Source organism: Homo sapiens, chromosome 16 (genome assembly GCF_000001405.40).
Source record: "Homo sapiens chromosome 16, GRCh38.p14 Primary Assembly".
NCBI lineage: Eukaryota > Metazoa > Chordata > Mammalia > Primates > Hominidae > Homo > Homo sapiens.
Genome location: NC_000016.10, coordinates 60,356,613 through 60,374,371, shown reverse-complemented (window position 1 = coordinate 60,374,371; position 17,759 = coordinate 60,356,613). Strand labels below are relative to the sequence as shown.

Genomic DNA, 17,759 nt, shown 5'->3' with positions numbered 1-17,759 from the left:
ACACTCCAGCCTAGGCGACAAGACTCCATCTCACAAAAAAAAAAAAAAAAAAAAAAAGGAGAAGAGGATGGGAGGGCAATTTTCTTGGTTCTTTTCTACCCCTTTTCTTAACTGCTTTCGCTTGTTCTCACATGCCTGAACCTGTGTGTACTTTTGCTTGTACACACAAACACATCACGGCATACATACACACTCACACACACACATACACACACACAAAGTTCCAAATTCCATCCTGGAAAAATAACAGTTTATTTTAAAGATAAACTGTCTTCTGATCTATAAAGCAGCAAATACATATTTGGGGAAAAATGACGTTGATAGAATTTCAATACATCAAGACCATCCCGTCCTATGCTCCCATTTCAAATGATAAAAGATCCAGAAGGAAGAAGCAGGAAGGAAGGAAGGAGAAAAAGGGAGGTGGAGGAGGAGGAAGAAGAGGAGGAGGAGAAGGAGAAAGAGAAGGAAAAGGCTAAGGAGAAGGAGAAGATCCTCAGCAAACTTACACAGAGACAGAAAACCAAAGACCACATGCTCTCACTCAAAAGAGAGAGCTGAACAATGAGAACACATGGACATAGGGAGGGGAATGACACACACTGGGGTCTGTGGTTGGGGCAGCGAGAGGGAGAGCATCAGGATAAGCAGCTAATGCATGCAGGGTTGCATACCCAGGTGATGGGTTGATAGGTGCAGCTAACCACCGTGGCACACATTTACCTATGTAACAAACCTGCACATCCTGCATGTGTATCCTGGAATGTAAAATTAAAGTAAATGAAAAAGAGGAAGGAGAAAAACAAGAAGAGGAAGAAGAAGAAGAAGGAGAAAGAGGAGGAGGAGGAGGAGGAAGGTGGAGGAGAAAAGTAAACCTCTACCGTTCTTTCATACTTCGTTATCTGAAGCTCCCCAGGACAACTTCCATTCTCTATTTGCTTACAGGATTAAGGTTTTGAAATCCTGAAAATTTACTTTGTGCATTTTTTCCTCACTTTCTTTCCTCCGACTAATTCCGTATCTTTTGAAAGAGAGAGAGAGAGAGAAAGAAAGATAGAAAGAGAGACAGTAAGATAGAGAGAGTGAACCAAGAGTCTATTCATTCCTTTAATCTCTTGTCTTACCAGGAAAACATTGTCTTTTGAGGCCATTTAGTGAAGATGATTCTTTCTGTCTGGAAAACAGTTACATTAGGTAGTAAAATCTAGCTTCTTTACAGTGCTCATAAGCCATATATATGTACTGTGGTTCAGGACCCTCATCCTGTCCAATAAAATCCTCTTTCTCCCTCTCTTTAAGTCTAGAATCAATTGAGAGACCAAGAGTTAGAATAATGGAAGTCAAAACCTAAACTTTTGCTTCCAAAAAAGGAGATTAGAAATGTGGTTTTAAGTCTGTGACCAAATGGGCATGCTACCATTTTACTCCTGAATCCAAACTTAAAGCCAGACGATAACAGTCTGCTCTGACCATATGCCTGGCTCACCCCAAATATGAGCAGAGCAGAAGAGAAAATATCTGAGTTGGACATGCTTGATTCCCTCTCCCAAAGACACAAGTCAGATGAATCATTCATTTCCCCAGGAGAACAGTGAGTAGCAAATTGTGAGAAACTGGAATTATATTCAGCTTCACAGGAAAGTAAATGGAAATAGTCCTTGTTTTGGAAAACATACAGGCAAGGAATTAAATTTTCCAATCCAATTGAGAAATTTTCTTTCGAAAGGGGATGACATGAAGGCTAAATACTCTGAACCAGTCCTATTAGCAAAGTTTTTTTCAAAGCCAATGATTAAAAAAATTAAAATTGTATTGCCAAATAGGAAAGATAATAAGAGGAGGCAACGGAAAAGCTGACAATAAACAATTTAAAAATATTTGGAAGATTAACTTGTTTGGCAAAGGGCTCAGCACAGTTTAGGTTAGTCAATAAAACCAAAGAAAAAAATAATAAATTGTAGCTGGGCTATAAATTTCTTAAGGAAAGATACTAACACTTATTATTCCATTTATATATCTGACTCTTAGCAGACCACCCGACACATAGTAGACACTTCATATCTGCTAGTTAGTTGACAGGCCTTGGGTATTGCCTTCACCTTTTAAGACTTCAGTTTCCTGTTTTGTGTGGTGCGTGTGTGTTTGTGAGTGTGTGTATGGTGCATGTGTGTGTTTATATTTTTTTCCAAAGCCCTATGACCTCCCAAAATTATAATTTTTAAGTGAATCTTACCCTTTTCATTTCTAACCAGATCTTGCAACAAATTATTTTGCCTTCTTCGGAATACTTTTCTGACACTTTTTTTTGTAATGGCTTTAACCTTGTTAACGAGCTCCCACTGAGTCCTTTAATACGCTACTTTAATGCCCAAATTCCCTGTGAGTTCAAGGAGAGAAAATGCTTCCAAAGGAAACCCCAGGCTAGATTTCAGGTATTCTTAATCCTGTCTACATGAGAAGCAATAGTTAGATAATTTCACAAGCATACGCCTTTAGGATTCAAGCTGTTAATGTTTGCAAACCAGACAACCACCCTTAATACCACTGCTGGTTTATTGACACAAACTCTTCGCTTCCCACAGCTTGTAATTGAATCCCCCCACTGCTTAATTGGAAATAGAATGACTCCACAACCAGATTTGAAACATCTTCTGAAGCTGGTAGCAACATCAGCACTCCCTTTTAAAAATAAAAATTATATCATTAACTGTGTTAAGTGAAGATTGGTGTTCTGGTGAATATCAGGAAATGAGTGCACCCCAGGACTGTCTGAACACAAGGCAATTAGGGATGTTTTCTGTTTTACAGTGCATGCACACATGGCCTCCTTTTTAGCCAAAGCATAAAAGCTAAAGCTGGACTAAGTTTCTACCTTGTGAAAGTCCTGACGTTTGCACTATTCTGATCCCTTTCAAGACTTGTTCTCTTAAACTTATTTACATACTTTGACCAGGAATTGCATTCAAACTCTCATTCAACAAATAATTACTGAGCTCTTATCACAAGCTAGGAGATAAATAGTGTACAAAAGAACATAATAAGAAAAGAAGTCAATGAATATATTACATACCCATTAAAAATTAAATGTGCATATTATAAGGTATCTAAATATCTACATGCTTCCAAAGGAAACCCCAGACTGCATTTCAGGTATTCTTAATTCTGTCTACATGAGAAGCAATAGTTAAATAATTTCACAGTGATTTCAGCTCTATCAGTGTAGAGAAAACAAATAAATCATTGACTATACTTTTAATGACACATACGGCTATTCATTGAGGCATTGGTTGTAATAATAATAAATTAAAAACTAAATGATTGAAAAAGGGGAAGAATAAAATAAATTATGGTATCTAACGTAAAGTATTATGCAGACAATACAATAATATTGTCAAAGCATATTTAATGCCATAGGATCATGTTAAGCAGAGGCGTATGGTAAAACTTAGACATGTTATTTTATGTATATATGTATGTAAAATATGTACAGAAAGACATATGTACATAAAAATATGTACAGAAAGACAATGGACCACAATATATCAAAATGTTCACAGAACTTATCTGTAAGTATTGGGATTTAATAAAAATTTCTCTCTAATGATTTGTTTTAAATTAAGATTATTTTATATTTTTAAGAAAACATTTTCATGATAAAATTATTTAGTACAGACAATCTCTGGACTTAGGATGGTTTGACATATTATTTTCCTGTTTTATGATGATTTGAAGGTGATACACATTTAGTAGCAACCTCACTTTGAGTACTCATACAAGGTTCAGTAGTCAATAAATTACACAAGATATTCAACACTTTATTATAAAATAAATCCACTTTTTTTTTTTTGAGACGAAGTCTCGCTCTGTCACCCAGCATGGAGTGCAGTGGTGCGATCTCAGCTCACTGCAAGCTCCACTTCCCGGGCTCATGCCATTCTCCTGCTTCAGCCTCCCAAGTAGCTGGGACTACAGGTGCCCACCACCACACCCGGCTAATTTTTTTTTTTTTTTTTTTTTTTTTTGTATTTTTAGTAGAGACAGGGTTTCACCGTCTTAGCCAGGATGGTCTCAATCTCCTGACCTCGTGATCCGCCGGCCTCGGCCTCCCAAAGTGCTGGGTTTACAGCCATGAGCCACTGCGCCCAGCCAAACTCCACTTTATATTACATGATGTTACTCAACTGTAGGCCAATGTAAATGTTCTGAACATGTTTTAAGTAGGCTAGGCTAAGCTATGATGTTTGGTAGTTTAGGTGTCTTAAATGCATTTTTCACCATAGGATCTTTTCAATTTAGATGGGTTTATCTGGACATAACTTCATCGTTAGTTGAGAAGCATCTGCATTATATTTTTAAATATTCTCACTCACAAAAGGTATGTTGCAGACATCCTCCAGCCTTTGCCAGCATTCATTTCCACCACCCCCTTCGTGCCTCATTAAGCCAGGTTGTATGCTATAATTGATTATGAGTCTGGAGGCTCTGGACTTGGAACACTTATTGCATATCTTGCCTCAGTCATTTACTAATTGCATAAACTGGGAGAAACTATTTAGTATGTGTGTATTAGTCCATTCTCACACTGCTCATATAGATATACCCAAGACTGGGTAATTTATAAAGGAAAGAGTTTTAATTGACCCACAGTTCCACATGGTTAGGGAGGCCTCACAATCATAGCAGAAGGTGAAGGAGGAGCAAAGTCACATCTTACATGGCAGCAGCCTAAGAGAGCTTGTGCAGGAGAGCTCCCATTTTAACACAATCAAATCTCATGACACTTATTTCCTACCACAAGAACAGTATAAGGAAACCTCCCCAAGATTTAATTATCTATGCCTGGCTCTTCCCTTGACATGTGGGGATTATTAAAATTCAAGGTGAGATTTGAGTGGGGACACAGCCAAACCATATCAATGTATAAACTCACTACTCTATTAGAAAGAATGCATTACTAGCCCCATTATACATAGAAGGAAAATAGTTGGGTCATTTATTATTTCAAAGATTTTAGCAGATTGCCTGTCTTTTTAACAATAAGAGCAACCATTTATTGAGCATTTTCTATTTCCTTGTTCCTCTCTTCTCATTTCACAACCTTCTTTATCTCATAGTCCCCTCCATCACCTGGTGTCTTTCCTTGGACATTTGAGTTAGGTGCCCTCTTTCATCTTGTAAACTTGCCATTGTCAAGTCCCAGATGTTCTACAGTGAGACCTCACATACTATGCCCTCAGATGTAGTGAGGATAGGGGCAGTCACTTGCCATGCTTCTCTGTCATCAAAGGTGTTGTACTTTCTGGGCTCCACATGGCTGTCCATCAACCTTGCTATTCTCTTTGTGCAAGGATCCCAGCTGAACTACTCTTTCACCTGCAAGATCATTCCTGTCTCACAGTCTTTACCATTGCTATGTCTTCTGCTTGAGGTACCCTTCTCCCTGACAGCTGAATGGCTCATTTCTTCTGTCTTCACAGATGTCAGAACCAATGTTACTTCCTTGGAGATGCCTTCCCTGAACACACTATCCCAAATGAGGGGTATTTGCCTCATTACTTCATTTAACTCTCATTACAGCTCTATTTGCTAACTTAAATGATAGTATTTATTTGGAGAGGCAGGGTACTATGCAGGTTCAATCAGTGTTTGCCAATTAATTAATTAATTACTTGGAGTTGACACCCCACATGCTTAAGAAGAATTTGCCACAAAATCGGGAAGAGATAATGCATTGTACCCCAGGAAATTGTTCAAACTCCATTCAGTCACACAGTGAAAGGATAATTTCTCTGAAAGGTTTTCTCTCTCCAAGCATTTAATGAGCAATCCAGTCAGAGCCCCCAGAAGAAATTATGGCCCTTTCTATGATCGCCTTCATTCCATAATAAGATTGTGCTCTAAAATAAGAAGAATCTGCCTACTGCTGAGCACTTGAGAATGAGCAACTGTGCTCAACAAAGTAGCTGGTGTAGCAAGATGTGTGGAATACTAAGGACAAACGCTTATCTGCTGTAGGAAACGCATGTAAATTTGCTGCCGTGATGAGAGCTATAGATGGGGTGGCACATATTGCTGTAAGAACATCAAACTAAATTAAATCACCCTTTTAAGAAGATCTGGCAAGTTTTCCCTGAAGAAAAGACAAGTGAGCTGAGATCTGAAGAGTATGAAAGGCTTAACTAGATACATAGAAAGGGTAGAGGGAGGCCCCAGCCTTCCAGAGAAAGAACAGCATGTGCATATATCCTGGACAAGAAGAAATAGAGATGTGTGAGGATATGAAAGGAGAAAAGCTGTTTTTCCTTTTATATTGACGTCACTCTCTTCACTTCTGACACCTAATTTGTAGGTTTTTCCCATACCAAGCAATTCTCAAATTCTCTGCAGACACCAACTGGGTGCCCTACAATTTAGCTCAGCTGCAACTACCTGGAGATAGTGTCAGATTTCACACTATCAGCTAAGGCCTCAGTCCCAGAAGACTGGCCCAATTGCAGATGCCAATTGCAAGTTCAGTTGTCACTTGCGCTGTAAATCAGAGGTTCCCACCGCCTCCACTCAGGTTGAATTATTGGCTTGAATAGCTCACAGAACTCCAAAAAATGATTTACTTGCAAGATTACCAATTTATTATATAAACTTATAGACACAATCAGGGACAGCCAGATGGAAGAAATGCAGAGGGCAAGGTATACAAGAAGGGGTGTGGAGTTTCCATGCTCTTTCCAGGCATGCCACTTTGCCAGGACCTCCATGTATTCACCAACCAAGAAGCCCTCTAAAACCCATCCTTTTGAATTTTTGTGGAAGTTTGATTACACAGTCAGGATTCACTAAATCATTGGCTATTGGTAATCAACTCAATCTTGAGCCCCTGTACCCTCCCTGGAGGTCAGGGGTGGGGCTAAATGCTCCAACTCTCTAATCACATGGTTGATTCTCCCAGAAATCAGCCCTCACCCTGAGACTATTCAGGAGCTTCCAGTCACCAGTCATCTCATTAGTAAGCAAAAAGATACATCACTTTGGAGATGCTAGTGGTTTTAGGAGATAAGTGCCAGGAAATGGGGGCACAGACAATATATAAATATATATTTTTTATTTTATCACAGGATAGTACAGCTCTTAGACCAGAGTAAGGGGGACCTAGCATCAGGTCCTATAAGGATGACTAACTTGTTCCAGTTTGGCTAGGACTTCACTGGTTTTAGCACTACAATTTTCACATTTGGGGAACCCTTTAGTTATGGGTTAGTTATGGACTAACCAAGACTAGTCCACCTTACCTGAACTTTACACTGTTCCTCCAGCTGTACCCCTCTCAACAGAATAAGGTATATCCAGAGCCAAGGGGACAAGCCCACTTGAAGGTCCCTCCCCTTTCTGGATCTTGCTCCAGGTAGCTGAATCACCTTAATTCTTTTCCCTAAGGGTCCCAAGCTTGCATTGAGATCCTCTGCATGCCTCCTGCGCAAGTCTGCCCTTCTGCGGATTACTGATATCATCAATGTATGCATGGCTTCCCTGATGGACAGCAAAGGGGTAGCTGTTTGTGGGAGTCATGGACAGTACTTGGGAATGCAAGCTGGGGTTCCGTACACATCCATGTGAGCACTTTGTGGTGTAGGATGAAGCAAAAGCACAGAGTTGGGGTGGGAAAGAGGCCAGGTAGTGGTCTGGAGCCTGGGAACTAACTCTTCTCACACCACCATGTACCAAAACAGATTTCCAAGGGGTCTAAAAGTCTTTAATTCCTACTTAGCCTCCTAAGTCATTATAAAGGTGTATCTTTCATAAGACACAGCACATATATGTATTTAACTGTCTAGTAGTTTACTTTGTACCTCTTACATAATTAAACATATGATACACGGCCTGCTGTTTGCACTATTGCCTGGGGCTCCCTAAGGGTTAATTATTTGTGTAAGGAACTGAAAAATGGAAGAAAATGTTTCAAGATTAACAACCAAAAAAAAAAAAAAAACATAAAAGTCATACTAATACACAATAATTACTAAATGTTTTAGTAATAATTTACTGTGCCTTCCAGATTGACCTTCATGACTGAAGGAAGTTACTCTCACAGCTGCTTAGAGTGGTCCTCTCTAGGTATTGCTTTCTGCTCAAGAAAGCTGCCTCACTGAAAGGAAAGACCTTCACCCTAATTCAGGACCATTCAGAGGGGTCTTCTGAGCTCCAGGGTTCTTGGAGGGGTGGGCAGAAACCTTGCTGTGACCTCTTCTCGTCCTAACTTCTCACTCTGCCCAATCTTATCTCTTTGCTTTTGCTATAGATGTGGATCCCAAGTTCACTTTTCAAGAATCTTCTTTCATGTTAATGTCTGTTTCAGACTCCTGTAAACCTTACCAACCTCAATGCTTATAATTACTATATTACTATTAGTCAGGCTCTGCCCAAGTATTATTTATAAATTGTTTTAATTCTCACAGCAATTTGATGCAGTGGTGCTCTTATTCATAAATATCCATTTTAGAGATGAGGAACTTAAAAGTTACTCAGGTCACATGGTTGAATAACTAAGGATCACCCAGTTAATAATAAAGAAACAGGGACTTCTAGTATTAGCTTTTGGACCTGTAGTTACAGTAGGCACTCTTTAGAATTTGAACTCATATCTGTATTTGGTTTTTATTTATCTCTATTTATTCCAGTCAATTTTGGGAGGTGATTAATCTGGATCCTTCAGTATTGTAGACTGAATGGATCTGTCTATTCAATTGAAATAAATTGAATGGAACTATTTATTCTATGTATTGAAATGATAGCCATCGAGTCTTTTTCAAGCTTTTTCCCATTTACAACAGAAAAAAAAAAAAGGAGGACAAAACGTTGGTGTATCCAGAAGAAAGAAGAAATGATGAGACATGATAAGAAAACATTGCTATATTAAGTCAGGTCCTGTGTTAAATCCTATAATGCAAGAGAGTGCTTGGCACCCACAAGCTGGCAGTTAGGGAAAATGTTGGCAGGAAGAGCACTGGTCCTATAATACCATGATTTATGGGTTCACACAGGCTGCAGACCCATTTTCATTCCTAAAATGAACTATCTTTTGAGTTTTAGGTTCCTAAAGATCTTTTTATCTGATAATTGTTACATTTTACCTCCCTCAAGGAGGAATGGAGAGAATGTTATGGTGATAATTTATGGGGGCTTCTGATAGGAGGTGGTATTTGAAATGTGTCTCTATGAATGAGTAGAGGTGAGTGAACTTTTTAAACAGCTCCTGTGCACATCATAGTCTCTTACTCTTACCTCTGAGTCATGGCTTGAGATATCCCCTCTGTTTGGAAGCATCTTTAATTCCATCCTGATAATTCCACCTTTTTCTAGAAAAGAGTGATGGTAAGGTAATTACTGAAGGCTGTCTTCCTTGACAACTCTCTCCATGGCCTCGTTGTTAGATGAATTGTCTTACCTTTGTATAGCTTGTCCTGCTGCTCTTACACAAATCATTAGAATGTAAGCGTTAAATGCTGTTTCCCCTACTTCACTCTCAATTTGGTGGACTTCTTTGAGCCTCAATTTTTTCATCTGTAAAATGGAAATACACTCTTAGACTAACAGGTAGCTGTTAATTTTTAAAATTATCTTCTGTAAACTCCAGGTCACAGGATATTATTCTGAAATTTTTACTCCTTTCTTTCTGCACATAATTCAAAACACTTATTAATGGAAACATACAGGATGGGCTGGGGATAAGAGTTCATTTTTCTTCTAATCTGTTCTCCAGTTTCACCTGCGATATGGCTAATAACTGACTCAGTGTTGACACATGCCTCAATCTCACACTTGTTTCTCTACAGACAAAAGGGCAACCTGAGGGATACCTGTTAACAATAGCCTTTTGCTGGGAGGGAGTAAATAAAGGTATAGCCTAATGCTCTTTCAGATAAGGGAAGTCTGAGTTCTTACTTCCGTAAGTAAGGATCTGACAATAAAAAAGAGCAAGAGAGAGACAGTGAGGAATACAGTCAACAATAATGTATTATATATCTCAAAACAACAAAGAGAATAAGTTTTAAATGTCTCAACTTAAAAAATGATAGGTAAGCAAGGTGATAGACAGGTAAATTAGCTTGATTTAATCATGCTACATTGTATACATATATCAAAACATCACATCATACCCCAGAAACATATACAATTATGCTTTGTCAATCAAAAATTGTATTAATAATTTGTTTTAAGTGAAAAATACAGATTCATCCAACCAGGTTCTTCTTAGCCAAGAAACAAGGCTGGCCAGGCTGCTCTAACCACTTAGCTCCCACTTAGCTTCTGAAAACTCCTCACTTATTCAAGAGGTGCCTCTGAGTATTCATTAGAATCTAATGCTTGTCCTAAACTTAGTGGCCTTGCAGAGAAGATGTACTCTGCAGTTTGATGCAGTTATGAGCACACTGGAAAACAATAGCTTCAGACGCCGGGGAAAATGATATCCCATTCAGCAAAAGTCCTCTGTCATTGGCTTTGTGATTGGAAATAAGGTAGGGAGCAGTTTCCCAAATACAGTATATTGCTGAGCAGATGTATAAGAATCAAAGGGAAAATGGTTGCCAGGGAGACAAGACACTCATGCCAACTCTGTCGCAGACTAATCATAAAATGTCTCCAGGGGGCATTGTATAGCCACAAGCACAGACAGGAACAGAGCCAAGCCCAGGGATCCAGATGTTGCCCTTGGAACTGGGCGCCCATTTCAGGGACTGGCATCTGCCTTCTGCCGAACAGAATGTGCGTGGCTGCATCTGCTCACTGCAAAAGTTAACACACACTAAAAGCAGAGGAAAGGTTGCCATAAACTAATGATTTGGCACCGTGCATAGGAAGGTATTACATATTAGATATATCTTCTGTTAACCCCGAGTTCATTTCTGCATGGCTCTTTCACAACACACAACTCACCCATATCCTGTCTCTCAGTAATTTCCATCCTGTTCATCTGAGAGCAATCTTGTTTACAAATAACACCTGAATTATTTACAACGTACCTGAGTACATTTGACATCAAAAGAGAAAAAGTTGGATGGACTAGTTTTTTCAATTAATCCAATAAAATACAGCTTTTACTTTACAGCTCTTAAAAAAAAAAAAAAGGACGTGATATACATTTGTGTCTGAGACTCTACTATTAAAAAACTACCTCTGATAAGAAGGGTGGGTGACGACAAGGGGTTTTCAAAGTGTTTGTTTTCACTTTCATCTACTGTCACTTGCAATGATGAGATTTTTGAACAGTAAATTATGGTATTTCAACATCTGAAGAACTTTCTTATGACCAGAGAAAAGTTCAATGAGGCGTAATTTAAACGTACACTATATCTGATTCTGTATATATGACTAGCATTTTATAGTTTACAAGACTTTTTCACTTATTTTGTATGCTATTCTTAACCTCTCTATAGCAGTTAGTTGAAAGAGGTAATATTAATCTTTTTTTAAAAAAAAATCTTGAGGACACTGAAGTCCAGAAAGGTTTAAAGGTTTCTTCAAAGTCAAAGAAGTAAAAGAGAAAGAGTTGAGACCACTATATGTATATTGTCAATTGCAAATTCTGTGTTCTTTGCATTAAAAATGATTCTATGTTTGGTTATCAAGAAACAAGGATCAAAACTTGTTTTTTACCCCAAATATGAATGGCAAGATTTCACTTAGTTTTATTGAATTACAACCTTCCTACTTGTATTAGTTTTCTGCTGCTACCTAACAAATTATTACAAACTTAGCCATTTAAAATGACTCCAGGAGTCTGGGCACAGCATGGTTGAGCTGTTTTTTTCTATCTAGAGTTTCTCAGTTGTTCTCAAGACATCCATGTATCAGCAAGGCTGCATTCTCTTCTGGAGGTTCTGGGGATAAACTCCCTTCCAAGCTCATTCAAGTTTTTGGCAGGATCCAGTTCCTCACAAGACCCCATTTCCTTGCCGGCTGTCATCTGGAGGCCACCCTCATCTCTTTGAAGCTGACACATTCCTTCTCACACGCATGCTCCATGTTCAAAGCAACAACAGCATGTCAAACCCCTAGCATCTTTTGAATTTCTTTACCTCCTTTCTGCTCCCCTATCCTGCTTTTTAAAGGTCTCATGTGATTAGAGCAGGCCCACCTGGATAACCTCTGCATCTTAAGGTCAATTAAAACTGATTTGGAACTTCAATTATAACTGCAAACTTCCCTTCCAGCAGAACCTAAATTGATCTTTGATTAAATAACCAGGGTATAAGAATCTTAGAGGAAGAAGGGCATTGTTAGGATTCTGCCCAACACACCACTCAAAATGTGGTCCTTGGGCTGGCAGCATCAACATCACATGGAAGCTTGTTAGAAATGCAGAATTTCAGGCCTCACCCCAGATGTCCTGAAACAGTAATTTATCAAGATCATCAGGAGATCCATATGCATATTAATAAGAAGCATTTGCTTCGAATGTGTGTTTTTTTTCCTTTTTTTTTTTTTTTTTTTTGGCAGCAGACATTGGGTTGACGGAAACAAGAAGCAAACCATTCAATTCTTTTATTCCATCTTGTGAGTGTTCTCTCCCTTTCTGACATGGAGAAAGGGGTCAGATAAGGCCAAAGGCAACTTTCTCATTCATGGCCTGAAAATGTAAGCAGAGCTGCACCCTGCTGAGCTGTGGAAGGAAAAGAGATTTTTCAGAGCATTTGCAATGAAGCTTTTGATGGTTTATTACTTCTTAGCCTTCAGCATTCGTAGTGGCACTCTTTGCTGCTGAGAGTGGACAATCTTGAGAATATTATGAAATCTTTTAGTGTTTGTTTATGGTGCACGGCTGAAAAGTTTGAAACTTTAAATGAAAATAGATCCCTTTGCAGTACTGGGATAATAGAGGACAAAAATCAATTTTGTTTTAGATGGAGGGAATTATGTACCATCCAATTGTTACGATATGCTGCATTATTTAGAATGTATCTCACGGGGGCTAGCTTTCCATGAGTGCATATTGATTTCATGTCCATTTAGCTATAGACTGAGATGCAACTATAAGGAAATCTAAGTGATGTTGGTTAAGGATTTTAAACATATGCTCAGCTTCCGAGAGCTAATCAACCTTACCAGGAGAATGCTGAAAAACCTGGATGTGCCTCCACTTGGTGCCAGCATGCTCATGATGTGGCAACTCCTCTATCCTAGGTATAAAGTGGCAACTCTTCAATTGTGGGTATAAGGCAGGATAATGTAAAATGGATATAATGAAAGAATCATGAGATCAATGTTCTTTTTTTTTTTAACTTCTTGCCTTTTAATAATATCTTTGAATATAGATGGTTTCAATTCTCCAGTAACAAGATGTAGAGTGGCCAAATGGTTTTTCATGCATGTTTCCCTAGTCCAGACACCCAAGAGTATGTCCCTCTCTTGGGCATAAGAAAACCTAGAGTTATATTTAGGGCATCATGTATGGTGAATAGTTGACTGAGCTGGCATGCTCACAATGACCAAATTATGTTTGTCATATTTTAATCCAATACATTGATCTACTATGAATTGTAAATAATGTATTTGCTTTCTAGACACATTCCAGGAAGACCAGAGAAACTGACTTTTATCCATATGGAATAATCCACTGGCAAATTTCTTTTAGGACAGACCAAAGCTGATCTAGAACATAATCTTTACATACTTGGATCCTTCCCATCAGACGAGAAAGAACATCTGGGGTGAAAGTCTCCATTAGAAGAGCAATGTGGGATGGTGCTGTGCTGACAACTGGTAGTTCCTGCCCTACATCTTTGTAGAGGACTGGAGCCCAGAGCATGCCATGGTCAACTTGTATGTTGAAGTGAAGACCTCCTTCGAGGTGTGCATGTGCTTATTACAGATATGCCACGGTGCTAAGTACCCCAGGACTAGAGGAAAAAATAAGAATAGATGCTGTATCCATGATCATGAGGCACACAGGCCAGAGTGCCAGCTGTGGAATCGCACAGCCCAGGTTCAAAGCCTGGCTGGGCCATGATCACCTGAATGACCTGAGGAATGGTCTCAGGCAAACTTGTAAAAAGTGGAGACCCTGCCTGCCAGGGAGGCATGTGGTAAGAGGTGCATCCAGTCAGGTCAGGGCACTGCATCCTCTCTTGGAAACCTGTGGAGCGAGGCTGGTGGCCCTTGAGGCCACGGCAGCCATGGAGAAGGCAGGCCTGGCTCCAGGCAGCACAGAGGCACTGGAGAGCCTGGCGGGATCTGGCTGGTCCTGCGCTCTGCTTCCAGGTTCTGGCCCTGCAACCCGGGGTACAGGGCCGGCCAAGACAGGGCCACTGGGTGCCAGCCAGCACCTGGGCCAGGCGCCAGGCGGAAGCGCTCTGGCAGATCAGCCCCGCACCCCCAACAGCCCCACAGGGGGCCCATCCAGGGCCACACACCTGCCCCCAGGAGCAGGACGTCCCTGAGGCTAGAGTCCAGGGGAACCGGTGGAAGGGTCTCACCCTTTGCCCTTTGACTCCTCTTGTAGGCACCCTCGCTGGGCTCCTAAGCACTCCTCCACACCCTAGCTCTGTCACCAGCCCCATTGTGATGTCATAAACTCCCAGATGCCCAGTGTGCACCCGGCCACAGAGAAGTGGGTGACTTAGGAGTATCCTCTCCGCTTCTCACCCTTACTTTCGTCTGTGCACAACTCGCTCAAAATGGGCAACTCACTAAGCGTATTTTGTTCCTGGTTCCGCCGCAGGTCCTGGCCATGCCATCGGCCACCTGCTCGTCTTGTCCGTGAGGCCTTCCCAGCTGGCCGGGCTCACCCCGCGGCTCCTGCACCTGTGCCTGCCCGGGGAATCTGGGGCCATTTCCCACTCTTCAACCGTCAGCGACATCTTGGGCCTTCTTTTCCAGACAGGTGGGATGGTGCCCCTATGAGGCTGTGTCTTAGCCCTCAGAACACGGGCACCCCACAGAGGGTCCTGCCTCCTGTGGTCTGGAGCCCCCCCTCGAGGAAGAAACCTGCGCTGTCTGCTCGCAACTCCACGATGTTTGGACACCTCAGGCCCCTGAGGATCCCTCGTCTCAGAGGCAAGTTTAACCTTCAACTTCCTTCATTTGATGAGCAGGTGATCCCAGCCAGGCTCCCGAAGACGGAGATGAGGGCAGAAGAGCCCAAAGAAGCAACGGAGGTGAAAGACCAGGTAGAGACCCAGGGGCAGGAGGACAATAAAAGGGGCCCCTGTAGCAATGGGGAAGCGGCCTCCACCTCTAGGCCCCTGGAGACTCAGGGAAACCTCACTTCCTCCTGGTACAATCCCAGGACCTTGGAGGGAAATGTCCACCTCAAGAGCTTGACAGAAAACAACCAGACTGACAAGGCCCAGGTGCATGCAGTGAGTTTCTACTCCAAGGGCCATGGAGTCGCCAGTTCACACAGCCCTGCTGGAGGCATCCTTCCCTTTGGGAAGCCTGACCCACTTCCAACAGTGCTCCCTGCCCCAGTTCCGGGCTGCTCCCTGTGGCCAGAGAAGGGGGCCTTGAAGGTGCTGGGTAAAGACCACCTGCCCAGCTCTCCAGGCTTGCTGATGGTGGGGGAGGACATGCAGCCCAAGGATCCTGCAGCTCTTGGATCAAGTAGGTCTTCTCCACCCAGAGCTGCCGGCCACAGTTCCCGCAAAAGAAAACTGTCGGGGCCACTGCTGCAGCTGCAACTGACCCCTCCCCTGCAACTGAGGTGGGATAGAGACGAGGGGCCCCCACCGGCTAAGCTTCCATGTCTATCTCCTGAGGCACTGTTGGTGGGTCAGGCTTCCCAAAGAGAAGGACGCCTCCAGCAGGGCAACATGCATAAGAACATGAGGGTGCTAAGTAGAACATCAAAATTCAGGAGACTAAGAGAGCTGCTTAGGAGGAGAAAGGAGAGACGGCAGGGCAGGCGTGGTGGCCCACGCCTGTAATCCAGCACTTTGGGAGGCCCAGGCGGGCGGATCAGGAGGTCAAGAGATTGAGACCTGAGGAGCATCTCTGCCTGCACCATCTGGGAAGTGAGGAGCGCCTCTGCCTGGCTGCCGTCCTGTCTGCGAAGCAAGGAGTGCCTCTGCCCGGCCCCCTTACACTCTGGGAAGTGAGGAGTGCTTCTGCCTGGCCACTGCCCTGTCTGGGAAGTGAGGAGTGCCTCTACCCAGCTGCCCACCATCTGGGAATTGAGAAGGAGCACCGCCTCTGCCCGGCCTCCACCCCATCTGGGAAGTGACGAGCACCTCTGCCCGGCCGCCTCACGGTATGGGAAGTCAGGAGCGCCTCTGCCCAGCTGCCCTGTCTGGGAAGTAAGGAGCGCCTCTGCCTCGCCGCCATCCCGTCTGCGAAGTGAGGCGTGCCTCTGCCCGGCCTCCTCACCGTCTGGGAAATGAGAAGCGCCTCTGCCCGGCCACCGTCCCATCTGGGAAGTGAGGAGCGCTTCTGCCCAGCCACCGCCCTGTCTGGAAAGTGAGGAGCACCTCTGCCCAGCCCCCTCACCCTTTGTAAGGGAGGAGTGCCTCTGCCCAGCCCCTGCACCGTCTGGGAAGTGAGGAGCGCCTCTGCCCGGCCCCCTCACCATCTGGGAAGTGAGGAGCGTCTCTGCCCAGCCGCTGTGCAACCTTCCACGTGTGAAGTGACAGCCTTGTGTGTGATCTTTCTGCCCTCCCCAAGTTTGCATTTTCGACATTAAAGTTTACTTTTTAATTAAAAAAAAGGAGATCGAGATCATTCTGGCCAACATGGTGAAACTCCATCTCTACTAAAAATACAAAAATTAGGTGGGCATGGTGGCTTGTGCCTGTAGTCCCAGCTACTCGGGAGGCTGAGGCAGGAGAATGGCTTTAACCCGGGAGGTGGAGGTTGCAGTGAGCCGAGATCGCACCACTGCACTCCAGCCTGGTGACAGAGCAAGACTCCGTCCTGAAACGATGTTGTAATTGAGAGCAGGATGGTCTTTTGGGACAGGAGGAACAAGAGGTTCTGGTTACCACTCTTCAATCAGTTCTTCTTTTTCCTCGACTGTAAGATCAGATCGTTCTTGTAATTTGTAAGTCTTAGAGAAAAGAAGTCTGATTATCCAGAGTATGAGAATCCCTTCCAAAATAAGATGGTAAGCAGGAGCCTTGTAAAGCGCCTGTACCATCTCCACCAGAACCCACTGCTGCGTGGCGGTCGCCATAGTTAGCCGCTTCCTTCCCGAGGTCAAAGTTCTAATTAAACTTTGTAGCTAATGATAAAATGAATAGCTGATGAGAAAAAAAGGGAGCTACTAGATCAGAAAGTATTTGAATTTATGATGTGACTGTGTATATACTGATGTCAGAAGTGTGGATGAAGTGAGGGGGCAAAGGACTGAATGCAGAAAGAAACCGCAGGACCCTTTTAACAGGTTAGAGCCAGAAAGATCTAGCATTCATTTTGAAAAAGTGACACGTCTCACATAGTATATATGCTATGAAACATTGTATAATGTATTATATTAGTAACTGCACCATTATTTCTTACATATATTAGATATGCTAGGATTATTTTCATGTATTATATGAAGCTTAGTAGAAATTTCTTCTTTGATTTCTGATTTTCTCCCTCATGGTAATGTGTCCAAAACTGAAATGGGAATGCCCCACTAATACACATAGTACTAATAACAATGAGCTAAAATTATTACATTTAAAAAAATTTATTGCATGCCACTTCCCTGCCAGAAGCCATGCCAGGTGCTATGGATACAAAAATGAATAAGCCTTTTTTTCTAGGAGCTTGTAGACAATTATAAAATA

At 42.2% G+C, this 17,759-nt stretch overlaps 1 long non-coding RNA gene and 1 pseudogene across 7 annotated transcripts in view; one reads left to right on the top strand and one right to left on the bottom strand.

Moving 5' to 3' along the window:
* Positions 1 to 14,590, bottom strand: part of LOC101927605 (uncharacterized) — a 187,474-nt gene extending 172,884 nt beyond the window's left edge. For 2 of the 7 annotated variants that reach the window (XR_001752229.1, XR_002957906.2), the window contains exons 1-4: positions 14,469 to 14,590; positions 13,667 to 13,892; positions 9,440 to 9,555; positions 9,277 to 9,350 (exon numbers count right to left, since the gene is read on the bottom strand). This is a non-coding gene — a long non-coding RNA (uncharacterized LOC101927605). Of the gene's footprint in view, positions 1 to 2,539; positions 2,680 to 9,276; positions 9,351 to 9,439; positions 9,556 to 13,666; positions 14,280 to 14,405 lie in introns of those variants that run through there. The other 5 variants (XR_001752231.1, XR_007065084.1, XR_007065085.1 and 2 more) reach the window with 4 other exon arrangements.
* Positions 14,579 to 16,693, top strand: NPAP1L (nuclear pore associated protein 1 like (pseudogene); annotated as a pseudogene).